This window comes from Homo sapiens, chromosome 4 (assembly GCF_000001405.40).
Source record: "Homo sapiens chromosome 4, GRCh38.p14 Primary Assembly".
Classification (NCBI taxonomy): Eukaryota; Metazoa; Chordata; class Mammalia; order Primates; family Hominidae; genus Homo; species Homo sapiens.
The window spans coordinates 68,604,702-68,619,125 of record NC_000004.12 but is presented as its reverse complement, the minus strand read 5'-3'; the positions used below and the strand labels follow the sequence as shown (position 1 = coordinate 68,619,125).

At 37.1% G+C, this 14,424-nt stretch overlaps 2 pseudogenes; one reads left to right on the top strand and one right to left on the bottom strand.

Annotated features, from left to right (window-relative positions):
• Positions 2,815 to 3,613, top strand: LOC100132651 (UBX domain protein 2A pseudogene; annotated as a pseudogene).
• Positions 3,921 to 4,606, bottom strand: LOC100422402 (RAS guanyl releasing protein 2 (calcium and DAG-regulated) pseudogene; annotated as a pseudogene).

Sequence of the window (14,424 nt, the reverse complement as noted above, 5' to 3'; positions counted from 1 at the left end):
GAGAGCAAGGCTCCATGGGCATGGGACCCCCCCAAGTCAGGCACGGGAGAGAATCTCCTTGTCTGCCAGTTGCTAAGACCCTGGGAAAAGTGCAATATTTGGGCAGGAGTGCCCCATTTTTCCAGGTACAGTCTGTCACAGCTTCCCTTGCTAGGAAAGGGAAACACCCTGACCCCTTACACTTCAGCTCACCCTCCGTGGGCTGCACCCACTGTCCATCCAGTCCCAAAGAGATTAACGAGGTACCTCCATTGGAAATGCAGAAATCACCTATCTTCTGCATCCATCATGCTGTGAGTTGCAGACCGGGGCTGTTCCTGTTCAGCCATCTTGGAATGGAGAGAAAAATATCTTATAAAAAGTTATTTTAAACCAATACAATTATCTTTGATTTGAAAGAGAAGCAAAAAAAACCCCTGTATACTTTAACTGTAATATTCCCTTGTATTTTAAGTTTTCGATGCCACAATTTACATTTTTTATATTTCCAATCTCTTAATAAATTTTTGTAGTTATTATTACTTTTTATTGTTTTGTCTTTTAGTATTTATACTGAAGATGTAAGTGGTTTACACACTACAATTACAGTATTAGAGTATTCTGAATTTGCCTTCCTACTTACATTTTCCAGTGAAGTTTCTGTCTTCAGATGATTTCTTGTTATGCAAAAACATCTTTTTCCTTCAGTTTGAATAACTCATTTTTGTATTTCTTGTAGGACATGTCTGGTGATGCTAGATTTACTCAGTCTGTCTGGAAAGTCTTTATCTCTACTTCATTTCTAAAGGATAGCATTTCTAATACTGGATGCAGTATTTTTGATTGGCAGGTTTTGTTTTGTTTTGTTTTGTTTTGTTTTGTTTTGTTTTGCCTTAGGTACTCTGAATGTATTGTCTGACACTATCATGGCTGACAAGGTTTCTCCAGAGAAGTCTGTTGCCAGATGTCTTGTAATTCCTTTACATGCATTTTACTTCTTTTATCTTGCTGCTTTCAGCAGCTTGTCTTTGACTTTTGAGAGTTTGATTATAATATATATTAGAGTAATCTTATTTATGTTGTATCTTATCGGTTAATTTTACCTAACTCTACCTGGATGTTTATATCTTCTCCAAGTTATGAAAGTTTTCCGCTATTATTTCTTTGAATAGCCTTCTGCTCTTTTGTCTCTTGTCTCTTTTGTCTTTCTTGAAAAGTAGAAGCAGTTCTTTGAATGTAGCAAGAGGGGTTTGAGTCGAGACTGCCCTTCCCACTCCCAGAATATGCTCTGGGAGCAGAGACTGGTGAGCCTGGATGGTGGCCCAGGCAAATGTGCTTCCCAATAGTTTTCTGCACGAGCAGGGAAGGTCCCTGACTGCAGAAAGGAAGGTTGGAGCTGGGGCTGGGCTCCCTAGGGACTTACTGCAGAAGGAGGATGGTGAGCCGACCTCATTAGCAGGTGGACAAGCAACCCCCAGCACTTTCCTATGTGGGTAGGATAGTTCTCCAACTGCAGCCAGAAGGGCTAGAGCTGAAACTAGGCTTCCTCATAATTTGTGTTTGAATGAAGATTGACAGGCCTGTCACACACTCAGATGAACAGGTAATTACTGGACTGAAAGACATGGGTAAATCTGCTTCTATGTCCTTGCCCAAGCAGTAATAATCTGGCACCACAACTGAAGGGGTTTCCCCTGAGTTACAGGATAACTGTCAATTCTGCTGCTGAGACCAATGTTGGTGGACAGATAAGCTTTTCTGCTAAGGCACTAGTGAGTATGATTCCTCCTGGACTCCTGGGAAGATAATTTTGATTACAGGCTCAAGGCCAAACAGGGCTGTAGACAAGCTTTTTGGGAAATGGGGCTGTTTCTGGCATTATAAGTGAGTCTAATACCTGAGTTCTGTTATGTATTCTCAAAATGCCCTTGCTAGGTCTTGGGCTACACAGGGGTTTCACAACATCCTACCTGAATACCAAAACTAAAGAGTCTTTTATCTGTGGTTGTGTGAAAAATTCTTATTGTTGCAAGGGGAGACATGAGTTGCTGGCTTTCTATCCCACTATCTTTCTGATGTCTTATCACATTTTTTTACCATCTCCATTTATGTTATTTGATCACTTAATTCTGACAGAACCACAGGTACATAGAAAGGAGTGAATAGAAGCTCCACACTGGGCTGGGCACAGGGGCTCATACCTGTAATCCCAGCACTTTGGGAGGCCAAGGTAGAGAGATCACCTGAGGTCAGGAGTTCAAGACCAGCCTGGCCAACATGGTGAAACCCCATCTTTAATAAAAATACAAAAAAATTAGCCAGGCGTGGTGGGGCACACCTGTAGTCCCAGCTACTCAGGAGGCTGAGGCACGAGAATTGCTTCCATCTGGAAGGCAGAGGTTGTGGTGAGCCAAGATTGTGCCACTGCACTCTAGCACTCCAGCCTGGGTGACAGTTAGACTCCATTAAAAAAAAAAAAAAGGCCAAAAAGGAAATACAAAGTATATACAATGTGTATTTTAATTATCCCCACCAGCAGATTTTACCAAGGACATCTGCAAGAATAATATTAAGGCTTGATTCTTAAACTTTTGACATAAGTTTCTTGATTAAAACTACATCTTGACAGAGCTTCTAAAACAACCCAAATATTTCCCTCAAATTTTTTGAATTCATAAAATGTTTCTAAAATCTATCTTTTGACAAATCATATGTTTATTAACTGACCGAGTATGAGAACAAAATCTTCCAAATGATCTTTCAATAAAGGTGGAGGTTTAATTACCAATTTAAAAACAAATCAATTGAGACTACATCAGCATGCTTTTGGTGTCTGGTGCCTGGCAGAGACCTAGAGAGTCCGTCAGGATCCTAGCTGTGCCGCGGCGGAACCTAAGGAGGTCTGGAGCAGCGGGCTCCAGACGGAGCCCGGGGCCAAAGGGTGCTCGTGGCCTCTGAGCTGAGTGAGGCTGAGGCCAGGAGACCCTGCCCAGAATAAGACAAAAGAGAATGAAAGAGGTAGATAATCTCGAAAGTATAAAAGAAGATGGGTTTGTGAAACAGTATCTGACAATCAATCTCTCAGTGATAATCAACAAATTGTGAATATTTTGTTGATAGCCTTTTTGAAGAAGCTCAGAAGGTTGGCTCCAACTGCTTGTCTCCCACTGAACAGAAAAAGCAGGTGGATGTAAATATGAAAGTATGGAAAATGAAATCACAGTCAGTGATGATTTCCCAACAGTGCAAGTCAGCAATTTTTGAACTCCATCAAAAAAAGGGGAATTACCTTCAGAATTACAGAGAAGTTTTTATAAAGAGGTGAATGTTTAAGTTGAAGACCAGATAAATGAAATATGTATGTCTACGCAGCCTGAGTTCCAGCCCTTTTCAAGACAGAGTCACAGACTAGGAAGTGCCACAGCAAAATTGTTTCTAAAGCAAAGAGTATTGAAATTAAAAATAAAAGTAATTTGTCTGCTGTTCTGCTGAACAACTTGGAACGTACTAATATACAGATCTGGTTAGCCAAGGATTGTCCAGAAATTTAACATTTCTCACAGGGTAAGCCATATAAAGTCTTCATTAAAAAAACCAGGGATCTCAAAGAAGTCTCCCCTTTTCCCTCCTGCAAATTCAACCAAGTAGTTGTTTCCCTGACAGCTTCTGTGCCAGATGAGGTCTTTGCTAGAGCAGACGAATATTTCTTCACGTACATGGCACAAAGGCATTGCTTTGGTGAATGGAAATGAGTGGAAAAACTCCCAGAAAAAAGGGAATATATATGCATGTATGCTGTGTATGTATATACTACTCTCTTTCTGTGTGTGTGTGTGTGTGTGTGTATACATTTATATATATATAAATGTATATATACACATATATAAATGTATATATATATGGAGATTAATTACATGAGCCTTTTTATTCCATGAGGAAAATACAAATATTCACAAAAGTTGGTACAACCTTAGGGACGCCTGCCCTGGCCCTGCCCTTAGCTGCATGCCACCATCACATTCTGCCCTCAGCCCCAACCTTCTGTCCCAGCACCCCCAGGCTCCCTGCTCTGGTTCAAGTCTTTTCTCCAAGGCAGGAATGAGTCCTTGATCCAATCATAGCATCAATTACAAGCAGTTGTCAAACACCCCATCCTTCACCATCTGCATCTCCTCCTCATGAATCTCTGGAGGCTGGGAGTCTCGTTTGCCATGGCAGGGCAGGGAGAAGCTGAAGGTGGGATGATGGTGGGTATGAGTGTGTGAGGGTGACGTGGAGACTCCTCCAGGCCCACACTCTGGGGCCTGCACTGGTGCTCAACTTACAGGCAATCCTTGCACTGCTGGTGGCAGCTCATACCACTGGCTTGGCAGTTGAGGCCCTGCTTATAGATGCCCAGGATCAGGGCTTCGCAGTGGCAGCAGGCTACTGCACTCTAGGAGTTGCCCTCCTGGAAACTGTGTACAAAACCCATGTAGACTCCCAGCAAGGAGCTGAAGCACAGGAAAAGGAAAGCATCTTTTCCCTACTGATGCAGCCTTCCTAGTTTTGGTCAAAGTCCCCAAAGGCGCTGAGGTAAGGGGAAGTTCCCATGGATGATCTGGAATTTTTCCTGTGAGATGTGGCCGTGTATATCCATGTGATATATAGATCACATTTTCTTTATTCACTCATCTGTCGATGGGCACTTAGGTTGATTCCATATCTTTGGAATTGTGAAGTTTGTTGCAATAAACATATGAGTGCAGATGTCTTTTTAATATAATGACTTCCTTTCCTTTGTGTAGGTAACTGGTAGTAAGATTACTGGATCAAATATTTTACCTACTTTTAGTTATTTGAGAAATCTCCATGCAGTTTTTCACAGAGGTTGTACTAGTTTATGTTCCCACCAACAGTGTTTAAATGTTCCCATTTCACCACATCTGCGCCAATATCTACTTTTTTTGACTTTTAAAATACAATCATTCTGATAAGAGTATACCATTAGTCAGGTGATATCTCATTGTGGTTTTAATTTGCATTTCCCTGATGGTTACTGATGTTCAGCTTTTTTCCATATTTGCTGACCATTTGTATATCTTCTTTTGAGAAATGTCTATTCATGTCATTTGCCCATTTTTTATAAGATTGTTTCTTCTTGCTGATTTGTTTGAGTTACTTGTTGATTCTGATTAGTAATCCTCTGTCAGATATAGAGTTTGTAAATATTTTCTCCCATTCTGTACGTTGTCTGTTTACTCTATTGATTATTTCTTTTGCTGTGCAGAAGCTTTTTAAAGTCCCATTTCTTTATTTTGGTTTTGTTGCTTTTCTTTTTGTGTCTTTAGTCATAAATTCTTTGTGTAGGTCAATGTCCAAAAGAGTATTTCTTATATTTTCTTCTGCATTTAAGTCTTTAATCCACCTTCAGTTAATTTTTGCATATGATGAGAGATAGTCATCCAGTTTCACGCTTCTGCATGTGGCTCTCCTTTTTTTCTATCACAATTTTTTGAATAGAGTGTCCTTTCCTTTGTGCATGTTTGTGTCTGCTTTGTTGAACAGTTGGTTTTAAGTATTTGGCTTTATTTCTGGGTTCTCTATTCTGTTCTGTTGGTCTATGTGTCTACTTTTATACCAGTACTTTGCTGTTTTGGTTACTACAGTTTTGTAGTATATGTTGAAGATAGGTAATGTTATGCCATCAGCTTTGTTCCTTTTGCTCAGGATTTCCTTTGTAATCTGGGTTCTTTTTTTGGTTCCATATAAACTTTAGAATTATATTTTATAATTATCTTATAAATGACATTGATAATTCAATAGAAATTGCATTGAATCTGTAGATTGCTTTGGGCAGTATGGTCATTTTCACAATATTTATTTTTCCAATCCATAAGCCTGCGATACTTTTCTATTTGTAAAACAACATCTGACAGAGCTTTTAAAATAAACAAAATATTTGCAAAATATTTTTTGATGAATGAAATAAATGTCTAAAATATATCTTTCCACCAATTATATTTATTAACTGAGACAATAATCCTTTAAGTTTTCTTTCAATAAAGATATAGAATTAAATTCCAAGGTAATAGCAAATGGTTTGCTGAGATCAAGAAAAATGGAAGCCGATGGTCTCACAATGATCTCATGATTCATCTGGATAAGTTCATCCAGTTTTGCCTCTAAATCGATCCAATGACTGTATTCCATAGCTACATCAGCACCTTTTCACGACTTCCAGAGTTGAGGAAAAAACTCAGCAGTAGCTATAGTAGAGCTGAAATTCATTTCATAGACATCCTGATTAAATGCGGTACTTCCTTTCAAATTTTATCCCTGTACCATTTATCTTGCTTATATTAAAGAAGAGATTGTCAAGAATTTAAAATATAACTACTACATATCAATGTAAGTACATTATTTGAATGGTCAGAGTATCTTCATGGCAAGTGGAAAAAGTGAAATCTAGATGACCTTGTGTTATATGATGTGTTTAATATCTCTTTTAACAATTACAAATGCTTTTCCCCATTTAAGTTCTGATTATCTTGCAAATACAAATCACCTATGTGATATAAGAAAGTTTAGAATCATGTTATGAACAGTGGATAGCAAGAGGTGCTTTGTGTCTGCAGTCTGCTTGGCGTAGGCCTAAAGTACTTACACAGCTGAATCAGACTTTCTTAGATATCATGGTCCAAGGGATGTTTGTTTATTTGTTTTGTAAAAGTTTTGTTGACATATATTTGACATATAATACAGTTTACTAATTTAAAGCCAAGACAATTCAGTGGCTCATTGTATTTTCACAGAATTTGTGTGACTATCGTGATGTTCAATTTTACATTATTTCATCATCCTTAACTAACCTCGTATCCTTAGCATCTCCTTATCCCTCAACCCTGGACAACCTCTAATCTACTTTCTGTCTCTATACATTTTCCAATTTTGAGGGCTTCATATAAATGGAATCACACAAGATGTGTTTTTTGTAACTGGTTTCTGTAGTTAGCATAATAATTTAAAGTTGGTAGAATACAGTTGTGACTCCAGGTAGTCCTGGACTTTTATTTATTGGAGGGCTTTTTGTTACTGATTTAATGTTGTTATTCAGTATTAGTCTGTGCAAGATTTATATTTTTTGTTGTTTTTATCTTAGTCTAATGTATATGTCAAGAAATGTATCCATTTCTTCCAGGTTTTCAAATTTGTTGTGTAGTTGCTGATTACAATCTTTAATGATGTGCTGTATTTCTGTATCAGTTGTGAAGTTTCCTGTTCTGTTTTTGATTTTATTAAATTGGATATTTTCTTGTTTTTCTTTATTAGTCTAGTCAATGCCTTGCTGATTTTGTCTTTTAAAAAAGTTAGCATTTTGTTTCATCTTTTTTAGTCTTAATTTCATTTTTTCTCTCTAATTTTTAGTATTTCTTTACTTACACTAATTTTGGTTTTGGTTTGTTCCTATTTTTAGAGTTCTTTGAGAGAGATCATTAGGTTGTTTATTTGAAACTTTTCTACTTCTTTCATGTAGGCATTTCTTGTTCTAAACTTGTCTCTTAATAGTGCTTCTGTTGAATCTCATACATTTTGCTATCGCATGATGTAATTTTTCTTGTTTTAAGTAATTTTAAAATTGTTTCTTTTTTTACCTATTGGTTATAAGGAATACGTTGTTAAATTTTCATGGATTTTTCTAGTTTTGTCTTGTCATTGATTTTATACTTTATTTCATTGTGTTCAGATAAAATAATTAGTAAAATTTTTATTTTTTAAAATTTGTTGAGACTTGCTTAATGTCCTCATATATGGTTAATTCTGGGGATGTTATATGTGCTATAAAAAGAATCTTATATTCTGCAGCTGTTGGATAAAATGTTCTGTAAATGTCAATTACTTCGATTTGGTCTATGGTACAGTATAAATCTCATGTGTTTCTATTGATTTTTTGTCTAAATATCTGTCCAATGCTGAAAAGGTGGTGGTGACATCCTCAAATATTATTGAACTTAGGTCCATCTCTCCTTTCAGGTATAATAATATTTGCTTCATATATCTCAATGGTTCATGGTTGTTTGCATATATATTTACATTTTTGTCTTTTTGAACAATTGATTCATTTATTATCATATTAAGTCTCTCTTTTCCTCTCCTTAAAGTTTTGGCTTAAAGTTTGTGTTTTGCTTATGTAAGTGAAGCTATTTCTGCTTGATTTGGGTTTCTGTTTGCATAGCATATCTATTTCATCTTTTCAATTGCAGTCTATGTGTAACTTTATAGGTGAGATGAGTTTCTTTTAGGCTGTATATAGTTGGGTCTTGTTTTTTAATCCATTAGTCTATGTTTTGAGTTGTATAATTTAATCCACCTATTTTCAAGGTATTTATTTATGTATTTATAGGTAAAGGCTTATTCTTTTATTTTTTCTGTTTATTTTGTATAACCCTTATTCCTTAATTTCTCTCTTATTACTTATTTTTGACAGTTTGGTAGTTTTCTATACTGATAAAGTTTGATTCTTTTTTCTTTCTCCTTTGTCTGTTGGCTCTATGAGTGAGTTATATAATTTTGTGTGTTTTCATGAAGTGGATTATCATCTTTTTACTTTCTTTTTTTAAATTATACTTTAAGTTTAAGACCTAATAGACATTTACAAAACTTTCAACCCCAAATCAACAGAATATACATTCTTCTCAGCACCACATCCCACTTATTCTAAAATTGACCACATAATTGGAAGTAAAGCACTCCTCAGCAAATGTAAAAGAACAGAAATCACAACAAACTGTCTCTCAGACCACAGTGCAATCAAATTAGAACTCAGAATTAAGAAACTCACTCAAAACTGCACAACTACATGGAAACTGAACAACCTGCTCCTGCATGACTACTGGGCAAATAAGGAAACGAAGGCAGAAATAAATATGTCTTTGAAGCCAATGAGAACAAAGACATAATGTACCAGAATCTCTAGGACACATTTAAAGCAGTGTGTAGAGGGAAATTTATGGCACTAAATGCCCACAAAAGAAAGCAGGAAATATCTAAAATTGACACCCTAACATCACAATTAAAAGAACTAGAGAAGCAAGAGCAAACAAATTCAAAAGCTAGCAGAAGGCAAGAAATAACTATGATCAGGGCAGAACTGAAAGAGATAGAGACAAAAAAAAACCTCCAAAAAATCAATGAATCCAGGAGCTGGCTTCTTGAAATGATCGACAAAATTGATAGACCACTAGCAAGAATAATAAAAAAGAAAAGAGAGAAGAATCAAATAGACTCAATAGAAAATGATAAAGGGGATACCTCCACTGATCCCACAGATATACAAACTACCAACAGAGAATACTATAAATACCTCTACGCAAATAAACTAGAAAATCTAGAAGAAATGGATAAATTCCTGGACACATACACCCTCCCAAGACTAAACCAGGAAGAAGTTGAATCTCTGCATAGACCAGAAACAGACTCTGAAATTGAGGCAATAATTAATAGGCTACCAATGAAAAAAAGTCCAGGACCAGATGGATTCACAGCTGAATTTCACCAGAGATACAAAGAGGAGCTGGTACCATTCCTTCTAAAACTATTCCAATCAATAGAAAAGGAGGGAATCCTCCCTAACTAATTTTATGAGGCCAACATCATCCTGATACCAAAGCCTGGCAGAGTCACAACAAAAAAACAGAGTTTTAGACCAATATCCCTGAAGAACATCAATGCGAACATCCTCAATAAAATACTGGCAAACCGAATCCAGCAGCACATCAAAAAGCTTATCCACCATGATTAAGTCAGCTGGGAGGCAAGGCTGGTCCAACATATGCAAATAAATAAATATAATCCATAACATAAACAGAACCAATGAAAAACCACTTGATTATCTCAATAAATGCAGAAAAGACCTTCAATGAAATTCAACAACTCTTCATGCTAAAACTCTCAATAAACGAGGTATTGATGGAACGTATCTCAAAATACTAAGAGCTATTTATGACAAACCCACAGCCAATATCATACTGAATGGGCAAAAACTGGAAGAATTCCCTCTGAAAACCAGCACAAGATAGGAATGCCCTCTCTCACCACTCCTATTCAGCATAGTGTTGGAAGTTCTGGCCAGGGTGATCAGGCAAGAGAAAGAAATAAAGAGTATTCAATTAGGAAAAGAGGAAGTCAAATTGTCTCTGTTTGCAGATGGCATGATTTTATATTTAGAAAAACCCATCTTTTCAGCCCAAAATCTCCTTAAGCTGATAAGCAACTTCAGCAAAGTTTCAGGATACAAAATGGACGTGCAAAAATCACAAGCATTTTTAAACATCAATAACAGACCAACAGAGAGCCAAATCATGAGTGAACTCCCATTCACAATTGCTGCTAAGAGAATAAAATACCTAGGAATCCAACTTACAAGGGATGTGAAGGACCTCTTCAAGGAGAACTACAAACCACTGCTCAATGAAATAAAAGAGGATACAAACAAATGGAAGAACATTCCATGCTCATGGATAGAAAGAATAAATATCATGAAAATGGCCATGCTGCCCAAGGTAATTTATAGATTTGATGGTATTCCCATCAAGCTACCAATGACTTTCTTCACAGAATTGGAAAAAAACTATTTTAAAATTCATATAGAACCAAAAAAGAGCCCACACAGCCAAGACAATCCTAAGCAAAAATAACAAAGCTGGAGGCATCTTGCTACCTGACTTCAAACTATACTATAAGGCTACAGTAACCAAAATAGCATAGTACTGATACCAAAGCAGAGATGTAGACCAATGGAACACAACAGAGACATCAGAAATAACACGACACATCTACAACCATCTGATTTTTGACAAACCTGACAAAAACAAGCAATGGGGAAAGGATTCCCTATTTAATAAATGGTGGTGCGAAAATTGGCTAGACATATGTAGAAAGCTGAAACTGGATCCCTTCCTTACACTTTTCACATAAATTAATTCAAGATGGATTAAAGACTTAAATGTTAGACCTAAAACCATAAAAACCCTTTAAGAAAACCTAGGCAATACCATTCAGGATGTAGGCATGAGCAAGGACTTCATGACTAAAACACAAAAAGCAATGGCAACAAAAGCCAAAATTGACAAATGGGATCAAATTAAACAAAAAGCTTTTGCGCATGACAAAAGAAACTACCATCAGAGTGAATAGGCAACCTACAGAATGGGAGAAAAATTTTGCAATCTACGCATCTGACATAGGGCTAATATCCAGAATCTACAAAGAACTCAAACAAATTTACAAGAAAAAAACAAGCAACCCCATCAAAAAGTGGGTGAAGGATACGAACAGACAATTCTCAAAAGAAGACATCTATGCAGCCAACAGATACACGAAAAAATGATCATCATCACTGGTCATCAGAGAAATGCAAACCAAAACCACAATAAGATACCATCTCACACCAGTTAGAACGGCAATCATTAAAAAGACAAGAAACAACAGATGCTGGAGAGGGTGTGGAAAAATAGGAACGCTTTTACACTGTTGGTGGGAGTGTAAATTAGTTCAACCTTTGTGGAGCACTGTGTGGCGATTCCTCAAGGATCTAGAACTAGAAATACCATTTGACCCAGCGATCCCTTTACTGGGTACATATCCAAAGGATTTTAAATCATGCTACTATAAAGACACATGCACACGTATGTTTACTGCAGCACTATTCACAATAGCAAAGACTTGGAACCAACCCAAATGTCCATCAATGATAGACTGGATTAAGAAAATGTGGCACATATACAGCATGGAATATTATGCAGCCATAAAAAATGATGAGTTCATATCCTTTGCAGGGACATGGATGAAGCTGGAAACCATCATTCTCAGCAAACTGTCACAAGGACAGAAAACCAAACAATGCATGTTCTCACTCATAGGTGGGAATTGAACAATGAGATCACTTGGACACAGGGCAGAGGACCACACACTGGGGCCTGTTGGGGGTGGGTGGCTGGAGGAGGGATATAACATTAGGAGAAATTCCTAATGTAAGTGATGAGTTGATGGGGGCAGCAAGCCAACATGGCCCATGTACACCTATGTATCAAACCTGTATGTTGTGCACATGTACCCTAGAACTTAAAGTATAATAAAAAAGAAGGTGTTTTCATGTAAGCCTTATGATAAGCACAGAACACCTATAATAAATACCCTAAAAATAAAAAGGAAGAAATAAAAACATACAACAAGATAATCCCTTAATTCCAAGGAAGCCAATAAATGATGAAGACAGAAAAAAGGATTTACAGACCAGATACAGCAGCAGCTCACACCTATAATCTTGGCATTCTAGGAGGCTAAGGTGAGAGAAGGACTTAAGCCTAGGAGTTCAACACCAGCCAGGGCATTATAGTGAGACCCTATACCTACAAATAAAGCTTTTTAAAAATGTCAGGCATGGCCATGTATGCCTGTAGTCCCAGCTACTTGGGGGACTGAAGTTGGTGAATCATCTGAGCCTGGGAGTTTGAGGCTGAGGCTGCAGTAAACTGTAATTGTATGCTCTTCAGCCTGGCCAACAGAGTGAGACCATTCCAAAAAAAAAAAAAAAAAAAAAAAAAAACCCTTTTTTTAAAAAGGATTTACATAAGAACTAGAAAAAAAGAATCAATATGGCAGTAGTTTGTTCATTCACCCTGTAAGTGCCATCTACAAGCCTAGCAGATCTTTGTCAGTCAGTTGTGAGCTATTTATAGAGCACTGTGGAATTAGGCAACTCCTCACACAGTTTCAGAATCAGTCCTAGGAGGAAAGGGGTTCTGAGCTTAAGAATATCTCCTTCAGGCATTCATGACGCAGTTTGATTCTATATAGACAATTTCCATTGTAGTACAAAACTCTTCTGGGTACTGCTATATGACTGGAGTGTTTCATTTACATTATGCAAGACATCATGGGTATTTCATGTTTCAAGGTTATTTGATGAACTGTTATGGATAGCTTCAATTAATGTACTACAGCAAGGTAGTAAATGCCACTCAAGTGGAAATTCTCCTTTCCCAAATCCCAGTATTTATCACTGGGAGATACTCACAGCATATTACTATAAGTTATGCTTGATATAGGGCTATCGAACAGAGAATTTTTTTCTATCAGCACTCCAGCTTCTATTCTACACTGTATGAACTTGGATGGAATATCTTACTGGCTTCTATTTAGAATGCCCAATTCATAATGATTTAAAGACAAATTTGGATGCCTTCCATTGTATAATACTAGATGTGGGAAACATTTCCCAGTTAGATACAATGTCCATTCTAATAATACTGTCAGATAAAAGAGATGTAACTACTTCACATAAAGCTTGTGGATATATACCAACTTTTCTATAACCTTTTATCTTCATTTCATTAACCTTTACTTAGGCTCTATTAGGACTTAATGTGTTTTGTGTCTGTACAAGGTGATTGAGCCAAGAGACGCTTGCCTTTTTGCAAACTTTTATCTTGATTAATATCTCAATATTATCTGAGGAAAGCGTTAATAAATTTTCACATTGTGATTTCTGCATTTGTGCTTTGTAAACTACTCCAAACTGTGATAAATGGAGCAGATTGGCTTGGAAGTCTGAGGGTTCGGGAACTTTCTAGGGGTTCCATTAATTCTCCCAACTTCTGATGATATTGTATTAAAACCTTTATTTTAAGCACATTAATTTTCATTATAATCATCCTATTTTGTAATAACCATCTAAGGATTTCCTACTGCTTAAAAATCTCCACCTTCAACAAATTGAAAAGTGGTATAGCAGACAACAATATTATAAATTTCTCATTTGTTACTGTGTTAGTCTGTTCTCGTGCTGCCAATAAAGACATATCCAATACAGAGTAATTTATAAAGGAAAGAGGTTTAACAGACTCACAGTTCCACATGGCTGGGGAAGCCTCACAATCATGGCAGAAGGCAAGAAGGAGCAAATTCACATATCACAAGGTGGCAGGCAAGAGAACATTGAGACCCAAATGAAAGGGGTTTCCTTTATAAAATCATCAGATCAGGCCAGGTGTGGTGGCTCACACCTGTAATCCTAGTACTTTGGGAGACAAAGGTGTGCGGATTGCCTGAGTTCAGGAGTTTGAGACCAGCCCAGGCAATATGGTAAAACCCCATCTCTACTAAAAAAAAAATACAAAAAATTAGCTGGATGTACCAGCATGTGCCTGTAGTCCCAGCTGTTCAGGAAGCTGGGGCAGGAGAATGGCTTGAACCCAGGAGGTGGAAGTTGCAGCAAACCGAGATCGTGCCATTGCCCTCCAGCTTGGGAGACAGAGTGAGACTCCGTCTCAAAAAAAAAAAAAAAAAAAAAAATCAGATCTATTGAGACTCATTCACTACCACAAGAATAGTATGGAAAAAATTGCCCCCATGATTCAATTATCTCCCACCAGGTCCCTCCCACAACACATGAAATTATGGGAG